Genomic DNA, 19,596 nt, shown 5'->3' on the forward strand with positions numbered 1-19,596 from the left:
AACATTTATGAAGCCCCAGCAGGAACGGCCACTACAAAAGTAAATAAGGTGAAGTTTTGCCCACAAGCATCTACAGGAGCCCTGAAACGGGTTATGTAACCAGAAGGGGATAGGGTGAGAAGCCTTCTGAATTAAGGAATAGCCAGAAACAACTTACCTTTAGTGCGTCATTTGTACGTAAATTTTGATTTCTTCATTACTTTACGAAATTACCTCTGACTTACAGTAAAATCCCATGTTTGCATAAGAGCTCTTTAGTAGGGAAGATGATTTTATAACATGAACTTTTTTTTTTTTTGAGACGGAGTCTTCTTCTGTCCCCCAGGCTGGAGTGCAGTGGCGCCATCTCAGCTCACTGCAACCTCCGCCTCCCAGGATCAAGCGATTCTCCTGTCTCAGCCTCCCGAGTAGCTGGGACTACAGGCGCAAGCCATCATGCCAGGCTAATTTTTGTATTTTTCAGGGTTTTACTATGTTGGCCAGGCTGATCTCGAACTCCTGACCTCAGGAGAGCTGACTGTCTCAGCCTCCCAGAGTGCTGGAATTACAGGCGTGAGCCACCGTGCCTGGCCCGAATGTATTTTTAAGCAATCACAAGCATAGTTATTTAAATGTTACCTGAAGCCTGGTAGAGAAGACACACATCAGGAGACAAAAATGAATGGGTCCTTGATCCAGTTGGAAGACTGTCAAGAGACTGGAACATCATGTTGAAGAAGTTGGATTTTATCTTCTAGTTAATATCTACCTGTGTATAAGCTAAGGCATGCTTTAGAAAGGTGGTTGGAAAGATGGAAATAATTTGGGGGAACAGCCTCAAGCTGGCCCCCTGGTTAGGAAGCTTCTCTGGTTGTGGGGTCCAGTGGTACTGGAGGCCTGGGAGGGCAGGGCAGCAGGGATGGTGAGGCCAGGCTGGCGTGGATGATGGAGAGGCATTTTTGGGCAGGATCCCCACACAACAGGTTGCCTGATTAATAAAAGGCATAATCAAAAGGAAGAAATCAGAAGTGGTTTTTAACTGTAGTAAAGAAAATTCCAACTGTGCTTAGAAGACCTTTATATAATTAAAAACATAGAATTATTCTATCCCTAAATAAATAATGAAGGGGAGAAACCCCATGACATTATATCTCATTATTGTTTAATTAGAATAGAAATTTTAAAAAATAAAAGTAATACCGGGCGCGGTGGCTCACTCCTGTAATCCCAGCACTTTGGGAGGCCGAGGCAGGCGGATCATGAGGTCAAGAGATTGAGACCGTCCTGGCCAACACGGTGAAACCCCATCTCTACTAAAAAAAATACAAAAAATTAGCTGGGTATGGTGGCGGACACCTGTAGTCCCAGCTACTCGGGAGGCTCAGGCAGGAGAATGGCGTGAACCTGGGAGGCAGAGCTTGCAGTGAACCGAGATGGCGCCACTGCACTGCAGCCTGGACGATAGAGCGAGACTCTGTCGCAAAAAATAAATAAATAAATAAATAAAAATAATGAGATAAACACCAATTTCAATAAAAAATATTTATGGAATTGTCCTTATCTGACTCATTCTGTTAAAATTTTACATCACCACAAAGCTATAGAGTGGTAGAATCTAAACTAATAGGGTTTACTGTGCTGTCTTTATTCATCCCCACTCCAGCTTTTAAGTATCTGTGTGGAGCTAGGGGAGAGAGACTGGCTGGAGAAAATAGTGTGTTTGACTCCAAGTCTGTTCAACTCGTGTTGGGGCATTTTTAGTGCAGTGAAGGCACATTCTTTATCTGAAAAGCAGGGCTTTAATGTTTTAATGATGAGCATCCCCAGAATATTTTTGTCATGTAAAAGAGGTGATTTCTTATGTACAAGTAAGTGATTCTACTAAAGTCTTCGTAAGGATTATTACAGGAAAAGGATTTACTGTAATAGGCCTGAGAAAACCATGGGAATAGTTCCAGCAGGAGTTTTTATTCCAAAAGTTTATCTGCCCTGTGACCACCTTAATACTCTCAGAAGATCTGAGGGCAGAGGGAGTTGGAGAAATCTTTTGCATGAACCTCTGATTTATAGTCTTGTTCTAAGTGCAGGGACATCTGAGGAGGCTCCAGGGAGGGCACATTGATACCTGCCTGGAAAGAGTCGAAGGTGTTGAAGAAGGACAAAGAGGGTATTCTAGAAGAGGAGGAGTGGGAGGTCGGAGGAGGTAGGTGGAGGGCTGCCTCTTGGTGATGTTCAAGGTATGCTGTTGAAATACAGATAGGTCACAAAACACTATTTCATATTCAACAGGGATTATATCTTGCAAATAATACATTTATTGTTTGTTCAGTGTTTCACTGTAACCCTTTTCCCGTAAGAGCTGGGCCCAGAGGACTGTTAGCCCAGCGAGGAAGGGCTTTAATGTCACAGAATCAAAGTCTGGTTTTCCACAAGCCACAGTGAAGAGACTGGAGGGTTAGGACAGCGACCGCTCCCTCATGGGGAAAGGAGCTAACAACGATCTGATATAAAGGAGGTGCAAGCAAACAGAGACCCTGATAGAAACCCCAGGACCACGTGTAAGGGGACTCAAGACTCAGCTCATCTGCCAGGTGCCCTTCCCGAACATAAGGGTGGCGCTTGGCCTGGTGACCCAGTGCTGCCACTTCCCGGGACTGGGGTTCCTGTGTGTGTTTACTTTTAACTTTTTATTACCTTGGCGGAAAGAGGGGAGGAGGAAGAAGGAAGGGAGGAGGAAGAAACACTCCTGAACACACAATTACCTCCAAAGAGAGAGTGCTCACCTGAAAGGGACTTTTCCAGAACAACCATGTGCTGTATCCGTCTCCAGTGGCAGCTTTAAGCATCCTCCTCCTGCCTTTGACAGGGGTGTGGGGCTCTGGACAAGATGAGCACAGTTTTAGGAAATAAAACATCTACACGTCTTGCAGGCCTCAGTCCTTAAATGTGTGTATATTAATTTATATTTTAAAAAAATCCAAGGCCGGGCATGGTGTCTCACACCTGTAATCCCAGCACTTTGGGAGGCCGAGGTGGGCAGATCACGAGGTCAGGAGATTGAGACCATCCTGGCTAACAGGGTGAAACCCCGTCTCTACTAAAAATACAAAAAATTAGCCGGGTGTGGTGGCGGGCGCCTGTAGTCCCAGCTACTCGGGAGGCTGAGGCAGAAGAATTGCTTGAACCCGGGAGGCGAAGGTTGCAGTGACCCAAGATTGTGCCACTGCACTCCAGCCTGGGCGACAGTGCAAGACTCTGTCTAAAAAAAAAAAAAAGAAAAAAAATCTGAAAGGATTTTGGTTTTGGTGGTGAGATCTGGGTAACTGCTTTTTTTTTTTTAAACTTACTTTTTTTCTTTTCTTTTCTTTTCTTTTTTTTTTTTGAGATGGAGTTTCACTCTTGTTGCCCAGGCTGGAGTGCAATGGCATGGTCTCGGCTCACTGCAACCTCCACCTCCCAGGTTCAAGCGATTCTCCTGCCTCAGCCTCCCAGGTAGCTGGGATTAGAGGTGCCCGCCACCACACCCGGCTAAATTTGTATTTTGGCCAGGCTAGTCTCAAACTCCTGACCTCAAGTGATCCACCTGCCTTGGCCTCCCAAAGTGCTGGGATTACAGGCGTGAGCCACCTGCCCGGTCATGTATAGCATTTTATTGTTCAAAACAAAACTAACTATAAGGCTGTCCACTTGAACAGACTGGAGACAGACATAGCACCGTGCCCTTGGTCCCTTCCTGCCTCCTCTGGGCTCCTGTGGTGTTATGTCTGGACCACAGGACCTCTTAGGAGCCAAGGTCCTGAGTGGACTGCACAGCTGACAGTGGAGAGGGGAGCAGGAAAAGTAAGGCAGTGACCCCAACCCCTGCCGGCTGGGGAGAAGGAAGCCTGCCCCACAGTCCTCACCAGTCCTCTTGGTTCTGTCAGCAACCCTGCTCATCCTCCTGGCTGCACCCGGCCTGCCCTGCCCTGCCCTGCAGTGCCAGAGACTGGACGTGGGTGGCAGCCTTATGCACTGCCAGTGGGAAGTCCTCCCACCGAGAACCCAGCTCCTCCTTCAGCTCTCCCTGGTGCTCCTCTGGCAGCAAAATCCTTGCTTCCTGCCCTATGCCACTTGGCCCAGCCCTGCTCCCCTCAACAGAGCCCTGCTCCCCTGGGCCTCAACACAGCCCTGCTCCCATTGCTTCCCCAATTCTTGGCAGAGGTCCTAGTCCCCCACTGCTGTGCAACAGCTAGTGATTAGGTAATGCAGAGCCACTCTTCCTAGAGGTCACAGGGGACTTTTGTTTCATGTTAGCAGGGGACTCTTGATGACTCAGTGAGGTACAAGAAACTAACACATCTTAAACCTCTGTGCACTCTGCACTCAGTTCCCATGCATGGGGATCTGCCACCTCAGCCTAATAGGATGGGCTTATTGCCCCCGGATTACAAGCAGAGAAACTGAGGGCTCAAAGAAAAACAAACAAACAAACAAACAAACAAAGTGGACCGGGCACGTTGGCTCATGCCTGTAATCCCAGCACTTTGGGAGGCAAAGGTGGGTGGATCACTTGAAGTCAGGAATTTGAGACCAGCCTGGCCAACATGGTGAAACCCCATCTCTACTAAAACATACAAAAATTAGCTGAGCGTGGTGGCAGGCACCTGTAATCCCAGCTACTTGGGAGCCTGAGGCACAAGAATTGCTTGAACCTGGGAGGTGGAGGTGTAGTGAGCTGAGATTGCGCCATTGCGCTCCAGCCTGGGCAACAGAGCGAGACTCCATCTCAAAAACAAAAAAACAAAATCCAAACTGAAAACAAAACCTTTACCTCAAATCACATAGTGAGGACGTGGCAGGGCTAGAACTGGATTCCAGCTTTTTAGGTGCTTCTCCACAGCTGTTCCCTTGCAAGCAAACTAGGCTGGCCTGTGGCCCCTCTGCCCACCTTGACTCTAGTGGGTGGGAGTGGAGACAAAGCTAAATGTACTCCTCCTGCCGTTACTTCTGAGGACACGCATCATCCCAATCAGCTGTTAATAGCCACTGAAGTGTGACAGAACTTTATAGCTTTCTAAACGTCGGATAATTTGCATGGAGAAAAACTAATTTGATAAAATACTTAGAAATTCTGTGTGATCTAATTTTTCTAAGCACTCAGGCCATTACTTTTGTCTGTAAATGTAATTGCTGCAGCTGAATATTTTTGCTCTTTCTTGCTACGTGATTTATTTTCTTACTTTTTAGGGTTTAATCATATCTTTGGCATTAAATATTAGCCTCAGACTCTCTCCCAAAAGACATAACTTATAATACCATGGGGACATTAAATTTAATCATCTTTGGCAATTATTTGATGCTATCCTGGAAAATTAGCTTAGGGTAGCTGCAAACATGTGGAGTTTTGAGTCTTTATCTACATTATATTCATGATAAAACAGGAGCTGAGACCCCACCATGCAACCTATTGACCTTTCCTGGGTCACCATAACAATATCTCCTGTACTGAGTCTCCATCACAGTAATTGAATTGCAGGGAGTGCACATGAAGCCTCCAAAATCTATGCTTCAGTGTCTGCTCTTTTGAGACCATTCATATTTCTCTTTTAATTATTATAAAAAGTAAAATCAATCTTTTTTTGGAATGGGAACCTCTTGAGGCTGCTGTTCTATATTCCACAGACATCCCTATGGCCCCTGACAGCCTCCTCCTAAAGTAAGCCCATACCTTCACTTTTCATGTGGGTTGGAGATGGAATAAAGAAGTTGACATTTTTAGAGCAGGAGCAAGAGGTCCATCTCATAAATTATATACTTCTGTATCTAGACCATGAAAACACAGCTGAAGAGAGTTAATGAACCTGAAAAATGAGAATTGTGTTTTCTCAATCTTAGAAGAAATCCCACCTCTAGATTGGTATGATGTTTCTCATTTCTGAACAGTTCACAGTCTTCTCTCTGTCTCCTTTTTAAAGAGTCTTTATGTTTACAACTATTAAATGTGCTCTTTGTGAATAAGATGGGGAAGAAAGAAAACAGTTTTGAAGTATCCGGAAGGCAAGAATTTCAAACAATGATATTTTTCAGTAGAGCTATCCTAGGAGACCATGGTGAGGAGGAGGCTGTATTTTCTTGCTGAGCTAATTACAGGAAGGTCCTGGAGTTGTTGGAACAGGGAGTTTACACTTCATCCTCCGCTGGGTCCTGCTGATGCAGGCTGCAGAGAGGGCAGTACGTTGAATTAAGAGAAGGCCAAGGGAGATGCCTTCTTTCTCTCCGTCTTGTCTTCCTTCCCGCACTTGCCTCTTCTCTCCCTAGCACTATTTTGCTAAACATGCCCCTGGGAGGCGTGTTAGGTGTATTTTTACTGTATATTATCTTTATAGCAGCCAATTGTCTCAGCTCAGAGGCATTTACGGCGAGCACTTCTCTGCTTGTCCTGTTCAGAGAAACCTTTCAAAGAGATGACCCCTCACCCCTCTGAAGAAGCTCCCCTTGTGTGTAATTGCACCAAGGAGCAGGCATGGCCAGGCTTATTTCAGAGGATGCTTCTCTTGGTATCCAAGGACAGAGGTGGGCCTGAGGCCCTCTTTCTTCTGATTTAACAAGCACTATGGGATCTGATTAAATTGCTTTTCACATTTATTTCTATCAATGTTGTTGGACTTTCATTATCCAGGCCCTCACTTTGAAAAATTGCCTCCCTTATCTGTCAAGCTTTTATGAAACATGGGGATTTATGGAGTGTTTCAATAAAATCTTTGGATCACACTAGTGCAAAAATGTTGCCAGAAAAACATCATCAGAACTTCAGGTTTTCCCGTTCGGGGCTATTCTTCATTTGCTCAGAATAAACAACCAAATCAAGACCATAGGGCTGACCGACACATCTGGTCAGAGTAAATGCTTGTCTCCTCTGGGTTCTGTCAGCTGCTGGCTGTGTCCACACCACCGTGAGCGTGTATTTGTGTGTGGAAGTGTGTGTTACACGTTTGAGCAGTCCTACTGGTGGCCACTAGCTTGCCACTGTGTCTCTTGGGCCCTCTTAAGATATGGTAAGTCTAAATTGAGATGTGCTGTAAATATAAAATACACACTGGATTTCAAAGATTAAGTATGAAAAAACTGTATAATATCTCAATTGTTTGTATAATTGATTGCATGTTGGAATAATGTCACTTTGGATATAATGGCCTAAATAAAACATATTCTTTGAATTAATTTTACCTGTTTCTTTTTACTTTTTTTTTTTAAACAGGGTCTTTCTGTGTCACCTAGGCTAGAGTACAGTGGTGCAATCATAGCTCACTGCAGCCTCAAACTCCTGGGCTCAAGTAATCCTCCCACCTCAGCCTCCTAAATAGCTGGGATCACAGGCGCAAGCCACCACACCAGGCGAATTTTTTAATTTTTGTAGAGATGGGGGGTCTCATGAGGTTGCCCAGGCTGGTTTCAAACTCCTGGCCTCAAGTAATCCTCCTGTCTCGGCCTCCCATAGTGCTGGGATTACAGGTGTGAGCCACCATGTCCAGCCTTTTTTACTTTTTAATGCGATTACTAGAAAGTTTAAAATTACACATGTGGCTCATATTTCTACTGGACAGCTGGCACACCCACTGCCTAAAACCTCAATTTTAAGAGTCTGTGCATCTGTACTTTCTCTCCAGGCACCTAACACTTAACTGTAAATATCATTTTGGGTCCAGATGAATCCAGTATGGCGTCTTACAATACTAGAAAATGTTATTTAGATGTTCTTAAATGTTTTTAAAGAGACAACAAAAGGATTATTATATAATTATTAAATAATTGCATCCACACTACAAAAGGGGACCACGTATAGTGTACTATGTATTTAGGAGATGTGTAATATATATAAACGTATAATTACAGAGGAGATGGGCTTAGTTTTAGTATCAACTTCCCATCCCTCCTCACTAAACATCTGATGATTTAGCCAGGTAGGAGTAAACCCAGCTTCCTCTGCCCCAGTTCTCCTGTCATTGGTCTCTCCAGTGCCCACACTGTTTTTATCCCATACCATTCTGCTCTGAAATGCATGCTTCCTTATATCAGAATTTTGGACACCAATCGCAGAGCTAGCTCTCAGTCTATCTGTCTTACTCAGTTGAAGGATTCAAAATAGAACATCTTCAACAAATTTATGTAACTATGCTTGCAACGGCATAGGCTCTAAGGAGGTTAACTTTGCCTACCCTGCTGTCTGCAGAAGGCTTTTGTACCTTTCTTGTCTGTTCTGAGTTGCTGTGTCACAAGAAGTCTCACAGCTCATCCTGGCTTTTTTGTCTGTGTTTCACTGTGAAGTTTCACCCCCTGCCCCATGGTCCCAAACAGTTGATCAAAATGTTTAGCCAATAAAAACAGTTCTTTTCCTGGAAGGGAATTTCTCCACCTCCTTATACCCATTTAAGGGGCTTCAAACCCCATACTCACATGCAAGCGGTATAGAGTCGTCCGCAATGTGCAGAAGCATGCAGAATGTGTATTTTCAAAGTTTCTTGGGTCAAACCAATAGTTGGCATAAGTGAGCCTTAGAAATAATAAACCAAGAGGGAGAGGGGTAGTTACATTAAAGAGTGTTTTGTTTCTTTTTTTCAAATTTCAAAAAAAGAAAGAAAAGAAGGAAAAAGGGCATTTGGCTGGCTAAGACAGCAATGTCTCTCTGCTTTTGTTATAATTGCTTAAGAAAATGTTTAGATTTTTCTAAGTTCTTTTTTTTTTTTTTGAGACAGAGTCTCGCTCTGTCGCCCAGGCTGGAGTGCAGTGGCACGGTCTTGGCTCACTGCAATATCTGCCTCCCAGGTTCACGCCATTCTCCTACCTCAGCATCCCGAGTAGCTGGGACTACAGGCGCCCACCACCATGCCCAGCTAATTTTTTGTATTTTTAGTAGAGACCGGGTTTCACCGTGTTAGCCAGGATGGTCTCGATCTCCTGACCTGGTGATCCGCCCGCCTCGGCCTCCCAAAGTGCTGGGATTACAGGCGTGAGCCACCACGCCTGGACTAGCCCATACTACCTTCTAACAGATTATGCAGCCCCTTGCAAATAATTGGTGTTTAACAAATGTATCCAATAGGTAAATAACAGAATGAAAGAAGGCATGTATATCCACTTCTTCATCATTTCACTGTTCAACTGTATTCACTATCAGTAATCCCAGTTTTGAACAGTCATCTCTAGCACTGGTTTTCTGATGCTCCAAGAATTCTCCAGTCATCCTAAGAAATGTCAGAAAGTCCTTCAAATTTAAGCTTCATTCATTTCAATAAAAATAAACGCAGATGGTACAATTTATAGAAAGGGGGGCGTATTGCAACATTATGCCTATATATTAATAGCATAGGTAGCTATATCAGTTTCTTAAGCCTGGGCTCAGCATATTACATTTATACTTTTGGGAAATCACAATTTATATTTCTTGGTGTAAGCTTTGCCTCAACATCGTCTGATTTTCGAAAGCAGCAAACAAACCAATTCTTAATTCTAAATGTCTTCTGGGGCAAATATGGTAAAAGGCAAACATTCCAAAAATTTATTTTAGAGGCATTTCAAAATACGAAATGCCTAGTGTCCTCGTAGTTTCTGTTGCACACGAGCAACAAAGCTGAGGAAGCCCAGCTAATTTTTGTATTTTTAGTAGAGACGGGGTTTCACCATGTTGGCCAGGCTAGTCTCAAACTCCTGACCCCAAGTGATCCTCCCGCCTTGGCCTCCCAAAGTGCTGGGATTACAGGTGTGAGCCACCCGGCCCGGCCTGTCTTAATTATAATTAAATAACAACAGTGGAATGGGAGAATCCTTGGGAAAGCAGGGGTGTATTGGTCAAAGCTATTACTAGAGGAAACTCTCACATTAACCCCTAGATTCCCTAAGACATTTCTCTATGTTTGTCCTTAAGCCAACCATCATTCCATGTCAGAGCTCGCCTCAGATGGGCATGGGGCGTCCCTTCCCCTGTTGAGTCTCCTCACCTACCTCTTCTCCTGGTCCAAATTTACAGACAGCAGAACTCTGCCAGGGTGAGGCCTTTCTCTGGAGGGTGAGGGCGCTGTGGTCCATCTTTGCTGTGAGTGGACCCCAGTATCCTCCAGGTACTGGATCTCCAGGCCTCAGGCTGGTACACCTCATCTGTCTGCACAAATCCCCTCCAGCAACATCTGCACTTCCAAGGTTTGTTGTGTTCAGACTCCCCTGCCCAAGAGAGGGTGTGAGAGGGCGAAACACTCGGGCAAGAGAGACGAAAATGACATTTTGCCAAAGCAGGAGCATGCAGGATGGTTCTCCCTTTTTCTTGCTTGTAGTTCTCGCAAATAACTGGAATGTGCCAGGCCTGCAGCATCCTGAGAGAGAGGAATGGCCTGGACAGCTGGGGTTCTGCCCCAGTCCCCCATAGAAACAGAACATCCAGCTTATCATGTTCCTCCCGGGTTATAAAGGCAGGGCAGACTGCTTTTCAGGCATCCTCAGCTGGAGCGCAAGTGGAGCCCTTTCAGACCAGACTTTCTCTGCTCCAGCAGCTTTCTCGAGCCTTGGGAGACTGGAGACTGGCTGGTGATGAGTCCTAGGCTTTGTTGTCCCTGACTGCCTGTCTGTAAGTAATAAACCTGCTTCATGTCACTTGCTGCATATGAGTATGCTGTCTCACCAGAATCAGACAGGTTGGAAACCAGTGCTCAGCGAACCTGCTTCCTAGGCTGCTGCTCTATAAACAGGGGTAAGGACTCCATTCGTCAGGGGCGTGAGCCATTTCTCCGGCTTGAAGTCTGAAAAGCATGTCCCTCTCCCACCCCCTCCCCCATCAAGTTCCCTTTCTGAGCATCATCCATCTGCCTGGCACCGGCTCACAGGCCCCACCACCCCACTGCCAGCGCAGTCCAGAGGGCACCAGGGGCATTGTCTTTCCAGGCTCTGGGGCCAGTTCAAGGGAATCCTGCCATCACCAAGAGACCAGGTGCTGCATCTTTCAGGGTTATGGGGCTGAGGCGGAGGCCACTGTACTACCTGGGCGGCTCTGCAAGGCGTGTTCATGGTGTGGGGTCTCAGCATGCCCAGCCTGGCACATCCATCTATGTGCCATGCTCCAAGTCAGTCCCTGCTCCCATTACAGTCTGGGGCAAGAGGCAGGGTTGCCAGGGTAAAAACCCCTTCCCTCGTTAACAGACCTCCCTGGAGCCCCTGCTTTTCACAGAGACAATCTGGCATCAGACGTGGTCTATGCAAGAGGAGCTTCAAAAGGAAAGAGGTGCCCATCCCTGCTCTCCCCAGGGCATCCTGGGCTCCTATACAGATTTGCCTGCTCCTTGATAACATCTTTGTTTTTTTAAATTGGAGTATAATTTACATAAAATAAGACACACAGATCTTAAGAGTTTGGTGAGTTGGCTGGGCGCGGTGGCTCACGCCTGTAATCCCAGCATTTTGGGAGGCCGAGGTGGGCAGATCACGAGGTCAAGAGATTGAGACCATCCTAGCCAACATGGTGAAATCCCTTCTAAAAATACAAATATTAGCTGGGCATGGTGGCATGCACCTGTAGTCCCAGCTCCTTGGGAGGCTGAGGCAGGGGAATTGCTTGAACTAGGGAGGTGGAGGTTGCAGTGAGCCAAGATCGAACCACTGCACTGCAGCCTGGCAACAGTGAGACTCCGTCTCAAAAAAAAAAAAAAAAAAGAGTTTGGCAAGCCAAGTTTGGACAAATGTATACACCTGTGTCACCTCCACGCCAGTCAAGACGTGGAGCGTTCCCATCACCAGTATGTTCCCTTGTCCCTTCCCTGCCCTGGCCCCCTCTCCAGTTTCTATCACCATAGCTTAGTTTAGCCTATTGTAGAAGTCATGCACATGGGACAGGCAATAGGGTCTCTCGAGGTTCACCATGTTGCTCTGTGTCTCAGCAGTCCTTTTTATTGCTAAGTAGGATTCGCTGGCATGTACACATCCTGATTTTTTTTTCTGTTCATCCATTGATGAAATAATTCTGGACTCTTTCCAGTTTTTTGCCCTTGCTATGAATAAAGCTGCTATGAGCATTCTTGTAGTCTCCTCTGTGTAGGCATGTGGTAGCATTTCTTGATGGTTTTAACTTGCATTTTCACGATGACTAATGATATTAGCACCTTTTCATGTGTTTATTAGCCATTCATATATATTCTTTTCTGAAGTGTCTGTTCAAATCTTGTGCCCCTTTTAAAGAATTGGGTTGCTTGTTTTACTATTATTAAAATGAAGACACTTCTTGGTCAGCTATATGTATCGTTAATAGTCTCTTCCAGTATATTCCAGTATATGTGTATATGTCTTGCCTTTTCTATTTTTTCTTTTCTTTTTTTTTTTTTTTGAGACAGTCTCACTCTGTCACCCAGGCTGGAATGAAGTGGCACAATCTCGGCTCATTGCAACTTCCGCCTCCAGAATTCAAGCGATTCTTCTGCCTCAGCCTCTCGAGTAGCAGGACTACAGGTGCATGCCACCGTGTCCGGCTAATTTTCTTTTCTTTTCTTTTCTTTTCTTTTTTGTATTTTAGTAGAGACAGGGTTTCACCATATTGGCCAGGCTGGTCTCGAACTGCTGACCTAGCGATCCATCTGCCTCGACCTCCCAAAGTGCTGGGATTAAAGGCGTGAGCCACCACGCCCAGCGGCCTTTTCATTTTCTTACAAGTCTTCCTGGTATCTGTCGTAATGTCTTTTCAGGAATCCTTGTGACAGCTCTAACATTTTTTTTTTTTTTTTTTTTGAGATGAGTCTCACTCTGTCACCTAGGCTGGAGTGCAGTGGCGCGATCTTGGCTCACTGCAACCTCTGCCTCCTGGGTTCAAGCAATTCTCTGCTTCAGCCTCCCGAGTAGCTGGGATTACAGGTACCCCCCAGCACGCCCAGCTAATTTTCGCATTTTTAGTAAAGACAGGGTTTCACCATCTTGGCCAGGCTGGTCTTGAACTCCTGATCTCGTGATCCACCCGCCTCAGCCTCCCAAAGTGCTGGGATTACAGGCGTGAGCCACTGAGCCCAGCCAACAGCTCTAGTATTATCTGTTATGATTATTTTGCTGTTGCTCAGAATTTACTCAATGGTGGCACCTTAAAACAGGGGCTTTGGGTTCTATTCTGTTTTTAGGGGGTGGGGGAAGACAGGGTCTTGCTCTGGGTCTTGTTCTCTTCACCCAGGCTGGAGTGCAGTGGTGCAATGTCATAGCTCACTGTGATCTTGAACTCCTGAGCCAAAGTGGTCCTCCTGCCTCAGCCTGTGGAGTAACTAGGTCTAGAGATGCAGGCCACCATGCCTCACTAACTTTTGAATTTTTTTGTAGAGACGGGAGTCTCATTATGCTGCTTAGGCTAGATTCGAAGTTCTGGCATTAAGTGTTCCTCCCGTCTCGGCCTCCCAAAGTGCTGGGATTACAGGCATGAACCACCACACCTGGCCAGCTTATAGTCTTTAGATCTCTTCTTCCCACCCTATGGGCAGAACTCAAAGCATCCTCCTGATTGACAGCATTTGTTGATTGATGGATTGGCTCTTCTACTACCTCTGCAGCCAAATTAACTGTTCTTTCCTCTGTTTCCTATTGGATTATAAGATGGCTTTTCGAGGATTTAGGATTAAGTACAGTCTTCTAAAGATAATTGGTTCTTAGAAGTTGATGTCAGTTCTTTTGGTAAGTTCTTTGATGTAAGCCCCATAAGAGTGAAGGTGTGGTTCAACACTGGTCTCCTGCACTCTGTGCTGAGCACAGTGCCTGACACACAGTAGGTACCTGTGAGATAGCCCTTGGAAGCACTGAGTGAATATGCTGTAGGAACAGTTGTACATGGTCCTCCCAAGACCAAAGTGAAGGCTCACAGTCAAGCTGTAACATGGTTAACAGAGTTCAATATTATTCCTGAAGTTGCTGGTAGGAGGCAGGTGCCTGGGAGAGACAGAAAATTGCAATGTTCCTGTTTTTCAGTCTCTTGGGTTTAATCTATCTCTCATCTTTGATTAGAAATCAAGCATTTCCTCATGTGTCTTTGATATTACCCAGTTATCTTTTGAAATGAGTTTTTGAATACCTAGGGTTTCTGGGGTTTTAGGCAAGAAATTTGCAGATGTTCATTTCTGATCCTACAATATTCACTTGAGAATGTCATTATGCATAATAAGATCTAATTAGTCCTCTTAATCTTCAGTGTCCCCCATAAATCCACGGCTTTCATACTTTAAACTGAAGCCATTTATTTTTCAAGAAAGGGGTCATAGTGTTAAGTTGATCTATGGTCTATTTGAATTATGTAAAGAGAAACTGGATTTTCATATTTCCAGTGATGTAAATGACAATGTGATATCTCAGATTATTTCCAATGGGTCTTAGTGACGGATGACAGCTCTGTCCTTGACTCTGACATTTACGGCAGGTAGGATTATTGTCATCTAATAAATATGATGTACCTGAGAGCAGCGAGCAGATTGCGGAGTCGAAGGGCAAAGCCATCTTCAGATTTCTATAGTGTCTCTCTGTCTTTCTCATGGAACTCTGTGGAGAGTCACTTACAGTAGTGGGGCTTGGGCCATTTGTGGCCAGTAAACTGTGGAAGGAGTAGAGATAACATCAAACCTTGGTCTTTCTGAGCCTCCGATTAGCTGTGTTCTGTTTCTAAGTAGAATGCATCTGACGGTGGGGAGAGGTGCAGGCTGAGGGGCCTGGCTCTGCAGGATGAGCAAAGCACCCCACCTCTTCCTTCGCCCCGCCCCGGGACAAAGAAGAGACACCTGCCTCACTGAGTGCCAGCTTGCGGTGGTTACTCATCTCTGTGTGTTTTCTCCTGCCTGGGTCTGCCTGGCTGGCTCCTGGTTTGGCCCCAGCATGGTTCCACTTCTAACCAGGAGGGAGATGATAACGATCAGCTCAGTAGTCGCTCATTATGCTGATTAAGCGCTTATGTGGCAAGGAGGGGCCTTTGTGGCTGCGGAGGGGCAGGAGCAGAATCTATCCTGCCCACATTTACAGTTTGCAGGTCTCACAGGAACAGGGGTCACTGGGAGTTGCCACAGCTCACCTGTGTGCTGGCAGTGGAAGCCACGAGGTCCATCCTGCCAGTGATGCCCGTGGGCTCGCACTGTCCCTGGCAGGTGGGGACGGTCACAGAAAACCCCATCTGCATGCAGGTTGAGCAGCTTTCTGCTCCAGCCCCTTCTCTCTCAGTGTGACAAATGACCCCAATTATCCTCAGGTCAGTCATTTAGCTGCAGTGTGGAGAGGGTACTGACTTCCCAGCCAGCTACGCCTGGACTGGAGGCATCCAATGGGACTAGGGTCTTAAAAGCCCCACATTCTTATTATAGCTTCTGCCAAGGTCCCTGGCTGCCAGGCCCTGTCACAGCGCCGTGAGCTTACCCCTAAAACGATGCGGGCAGCCCTTAGGAAAAGGCTCTCGGCTCTCCTTCCTGAGATATTTATAGACTCCTTGACTGCAAAGAGGCGATTATGCAGCGGCCTGAGGGATTTGCACAAATGTGGCGCCTGCTTAAAGATTTAGTCCCAAGCTCATCCAAAGCCTCACCTCCCCATTTTTGTGATGCAATTCATTAAACAATGACAATTCTGCTGCCACTCTGCAGCTGACTTGTCAGTAAGGAAACGTCCTGTAAGGAGTTGGGAGCAACCATTTTTATAGACTGGGAATTATGATAAACAGGCCTCTGAAGAGTCAGAAGAGTGGAATTGATTGGGGTGCTGAGAGGAGACGGGCAGAGAGTAGAGTTGGTCTCCAAGGCAGGGCTCTGGGAGCTAGAAGGGGAACCCCACAGGAGGCTAATGGGGGCAGTGAGTTGGGGAGGGGGCCTGGGAAAGCAGGATCTTGTGTGGGGTCCCTTTCGCCTCTGCTGATAGCACAGTTCACATGGACAGTGAGGAGGCAGAAGCCACTCACACAAGTGAAGTGGCGGGGAGACAGGACACAGTGGCCTGTGCACAGCCAGAGATATGGGGCATAGTGGCCATGGAGAGAAGATCGAGAGGAGATGGACAGCTGGGATAGGCTGACCTGCCACCTCCGGGCCTTATCGTTCCAAAGCGGGGGTGGGGAAGGGGAGTTAGGGGACCCTCCTCCACAGCTTGGACCTGCTGGCAGGTCCAGTCAGGGTGTAGTTCAGGAAACAGAGGCCCCTCTACTGTGCCAGGGAACCAGGAGTCCACAACATCATGGGGTGGCCTAGAGAATGTCAATCTAGTTATCCGCCTAAACTATCAGTGTCAAGGTCACACAGCATGGGGCTGGGCAAGGTGGCTCACGCCTGTAATCCCAACACTTTGGGAGGCCAAAGTGGGCGGATCATGAGGTCAGGAGACCAAGACCATCCTGGCTAACACGGTGAAACCCCGTCTCTACTAAAAATACAAACAATTAGCCGGGTGTGGCGGTGGGTGCCTGTAGTCCCAGCTACTCAGGAGGCTGAGGCAGGAGAATGGTGTGAATCCCGGGAGGCAGAGCTTGCACTGAGCTGAGATCACACCACTGCACTCCAGCCTGGGCAACAGAGCAAGGCTCCGTCTCAAAAAAAAAAAAAGGTCACACAACATGGCCGTTGTCCAGGGCAGGGAGCAACTGCACTCCTGCCAACTCCAGCCACCACTGCCTCTCCTCTGGCACTGTGGCACTGTGCCAGCCCCGGGACAGGGGCCTCTGCCCACAGAGCCACCACTCCTGCAGAATGTAGGCTGACCTGAGCTGCACTTAGAGCACTAAACACAGCAGATCCTGGGATGCAGTCAGGCCCCATGCCCTGCAGTGTAGGGAAGGGGTTTTGGTGGGTGGGGGGGATGTGGCAGACAAGAGCCACTGTGCCCAGGAGGATAATGGGGTGGGTAGCATTCTGCTGCCTCACAGGCCTGAGTGTGGTTGTCGTATCCTAACCCTGGCTGTTAGGACTGGCCAGGGCCCCTTGAGCTCCCAGATTCTCCTTCCCAGACCTGCTCCTTGACTTCTAGAGTACCCTCAGCTCACAAGAACCTGACTTCCAACCTGGACTTAGACATTTTGACAATGTGTCTTTTTGAGGCATGTGGAGTAAATACTTAGGATACTTTGCAGTTACAGCTGATTGAAAATGGAGAATTTTGCAGTGAGCCAAGATCGCGCCACTGCACTCCAGCCTGGGCGACAGAGCAAGACTCTATCTCAAAAAAGAAAAAGAAAGAATATGGAGAATTTAATAATACACATACTTAGAAACTGAAAGTGCAGCAACATAAGGAAATGAGCTGTTGGTAACCGAATACAGGTGTCTCCTGGACTCGATCTCCTGGAGTCCTTTGTCTGCTCCAGGTTGGGCTGGTTACATGTTGCATGAATGTGCCTTTGGAACAAGCAAAAAACAGAGCTGAATGTTGATAGAACTTCCATGGCCACACCCAGGTCCCCCCATTTTACTAAACTGGGGAGGGGAGAGAATCAGGACCATCATACTTGCCTTTTCTCTCCACTTCCCACCCTTGCTTTTGTCTCTCTATAGCGTTTTAAGAACCTTGTGAATAGATAATACTCAATTTTCTAAATTATGAAGATCTAGTAAAGTTAGCTTTGGTGCTGAAAACCACTGCAGTTAAACTCTTCTCTTGAGTCAAGATGGCTCTCCCGAGGCAGCTTCACTGAGTAGGTGTGCAGAGGCCAAGGGCCGGACACCAGCTCCAGGATGATCCATTTGCCACCCTGGGCCTCAGTTTCCCATGTGTCTGTAGATTATGGTTTTCCTGTTGGGTCTTTAACTACCTTCTCACATTTTGTGATTTTCTCTGAGATTATAATTTCTTTATAAATGTTATATGTGTCATATATATAACATATATGTCTTCATAGTTAATTTACATGCTTATTATAGAAAATTTAGAAAAAGTCAAAAGAAAAATTAGGAGATTACTCATAGTCCAGCACCCTAAGGAAGCAGGTATTAATATTTTTAGGTTACAGGACATCCTTCTAGTAAGCGCTTCAAACTTGCTCCATTTCTATGAAGAACTAGATATGAAGAAACCTATTTGTCCTCTGCTTGAATAATAGTGGTTTCATAGTGTCCTCTGTTAATAGAAGGTCTATAGGATGTAAAGTTTGTAGGTCAGAGAAGGCTGTCCTTCTCAGTCACTTGCTGTTGTCCAAGGAAAACCCTGGGAGCTGTGCAATGTAAGTTGATTCTTGGTGAGAGTGTGTGTACTTATGCACACAAACACCTATGCACACAGATTCCCAAGCTTAGGCTGAATGCCCTCTTGAAGCAACATTTCTGGGAAATTTTAGGTAAGTGTAAAAATATATGTTAAGGAAAAGCCAAGAGGCTCATTCAGCACAGGGATGGTTTCCTTGACATCATTTGTCATTGCTGATTTTCCTTCCTTTGGAGTCATCTTGCTCATCTCTTTGGGTCTGTGTGTGCTTGCTTGGTGGGTTTGCAAGCAGCCTGTGTGCATGGCAAGCCCTCAGGGCCCCTGGACTTGGAAGACTTCAGGGAAAGAACAGGGAGACACTGAGGTTTCCTACTAGCCTACCCAATGAAACCATTCATCATGCACACTCACTATATTTCAAACACTAGTTGATATTGTCATGGCTAATAAATGCAATAATAAGTGCAATAATAGAAAAATATTCCTCAGTTCATAGTAGCCTTGGATGTTGTGAATTTTCTACAAAAGATTATGGGAGAGTGTACAATTTTGGACATTAAAAAGTAGTCAATCCATATTATCAGAATGTGGGGCACTGACCTCATTTTCAAGCCTTGCATTTAAGGTCTGGTGGGCCCGTGGACTTGTTTCCCTTTGGTTGATTCAAGCAGAGGTGATGCCCATCCAGTGTGGGATGCGACTGGAGCCATGCATGCATTCCCAGCAGTGGGGGTCAGCTGACCGTGTGGCTGTCAGAGTGGATGTCTTGTCCCTGAGCCTACCCCTCCCTCATTAGGGTCCCAAATGTCCAGCCCTCCTGTCATCCTCACAGACCCTCCAGCCCCGAAAGTCTGGTTTCCTGGCTTGCAGGGGAGGGAGGCAGAATGGCTGGGCAGGGCCAGGCAGGCAGGCTTGTCCCTTCTCAATCTGTTTCTCTCCCTCTCCCAGAGGGACAAGCAAAGCCTTTCACTTTGGATAAAAGTTATCAGGCAAGGAAAATATATTTTCAGATCTTGTTCTCCACCCCTGACTTCCCTCCTCTGAGAGTCTAAAGTGCAGGTGAGATAAGGAAACATGTTACTCTTCCTACCAGTTGGAGACACAGCTTTAAGCCAAGGGCAGTCATTTGTAATAGTTGAATTTCCTGCATCAGCGACAGAGGGAGTAAGGCTGGAATGGATGTGTCTGAGGAAGAGACACACCCTGGGCCCCTTCAACCAGACCGCATTGGAGGGGCCTCTTCCACTAGTTTCTAAGCCAGTCCCTGGCTTGCACTCCTGGTAAAGTGCATGATCTTGTGTGTATAGCCGGGTGGATTTTTCCATGTGCATGCACCTGAGTCATCACCACTCAGATCAAGACAGATTTCCACACCCAGGAAAGTCCCCTGATGCCCCCTCCTGTCCCCAAAGCCCCTATTCAGGTGGATGCATTTTTCCCATTTACAGATGAGGGGCCCAAAGCTTGGAGAAGGCAGGA

At 46.4% G+C, this 19,596-nt stretch overlaps 1 protein-coding gene across 1 annotated transcript in view, besides 2 other annotated features; it reads left to right on the plus strand.

Moving 5' to 3' along the window:
- RANBP2 (RAN binding protein 2) overlaps positions 1–19,596 on the plus strand; it is a 1,122,820-nt gene that overhangs the window by 323,581 nt on the left and 779,643 nt on the right. The window lies entirely within an intron of this gene.
- Positions 4,017–4,517: an enhancer, noted in NCBI's record as "H3K4me1 hESC enhancer chr2:109663535-109664035 (GRCh37/hg19 assembly coordinates)". NCBI's record gives its function as "activates a minimal SCP1, AML or CMV promoter by ChIP-STARR-seq in primed H9 embryonic stem cells {active_cell/tissue: H9 hESC(primed)}" and the evidence as "EXISTENCE:reporter gene assay evidence [ECO:0000049][PMID:30033119]".
- Positions 4,335–4,394: a silencer, noted in NCBI's record as "silent region_11853". NCBI's record gives its function as "represses an Ori minimal core promoter by ATAC-STARR-seq in GM12878 lymphoblastoid cells {active_cell/tissue: GM12878}" and the evidence as "EXISTENCE:reporter gene assay evidence [ECO:0000049][PMID:35858748]".

This window comes from Homo sapiens, chromosome 2 (assembly GCF_000001405.40).
Source record: "Homo sapiens chromosome 2, GRCh38.p14 Primary Assembly".
Lineage (NCBI taxonomy): Eukaryota > Metazoa > Chordata > Mammalia > Primates > Hominidae > Homo > Homo sapiens.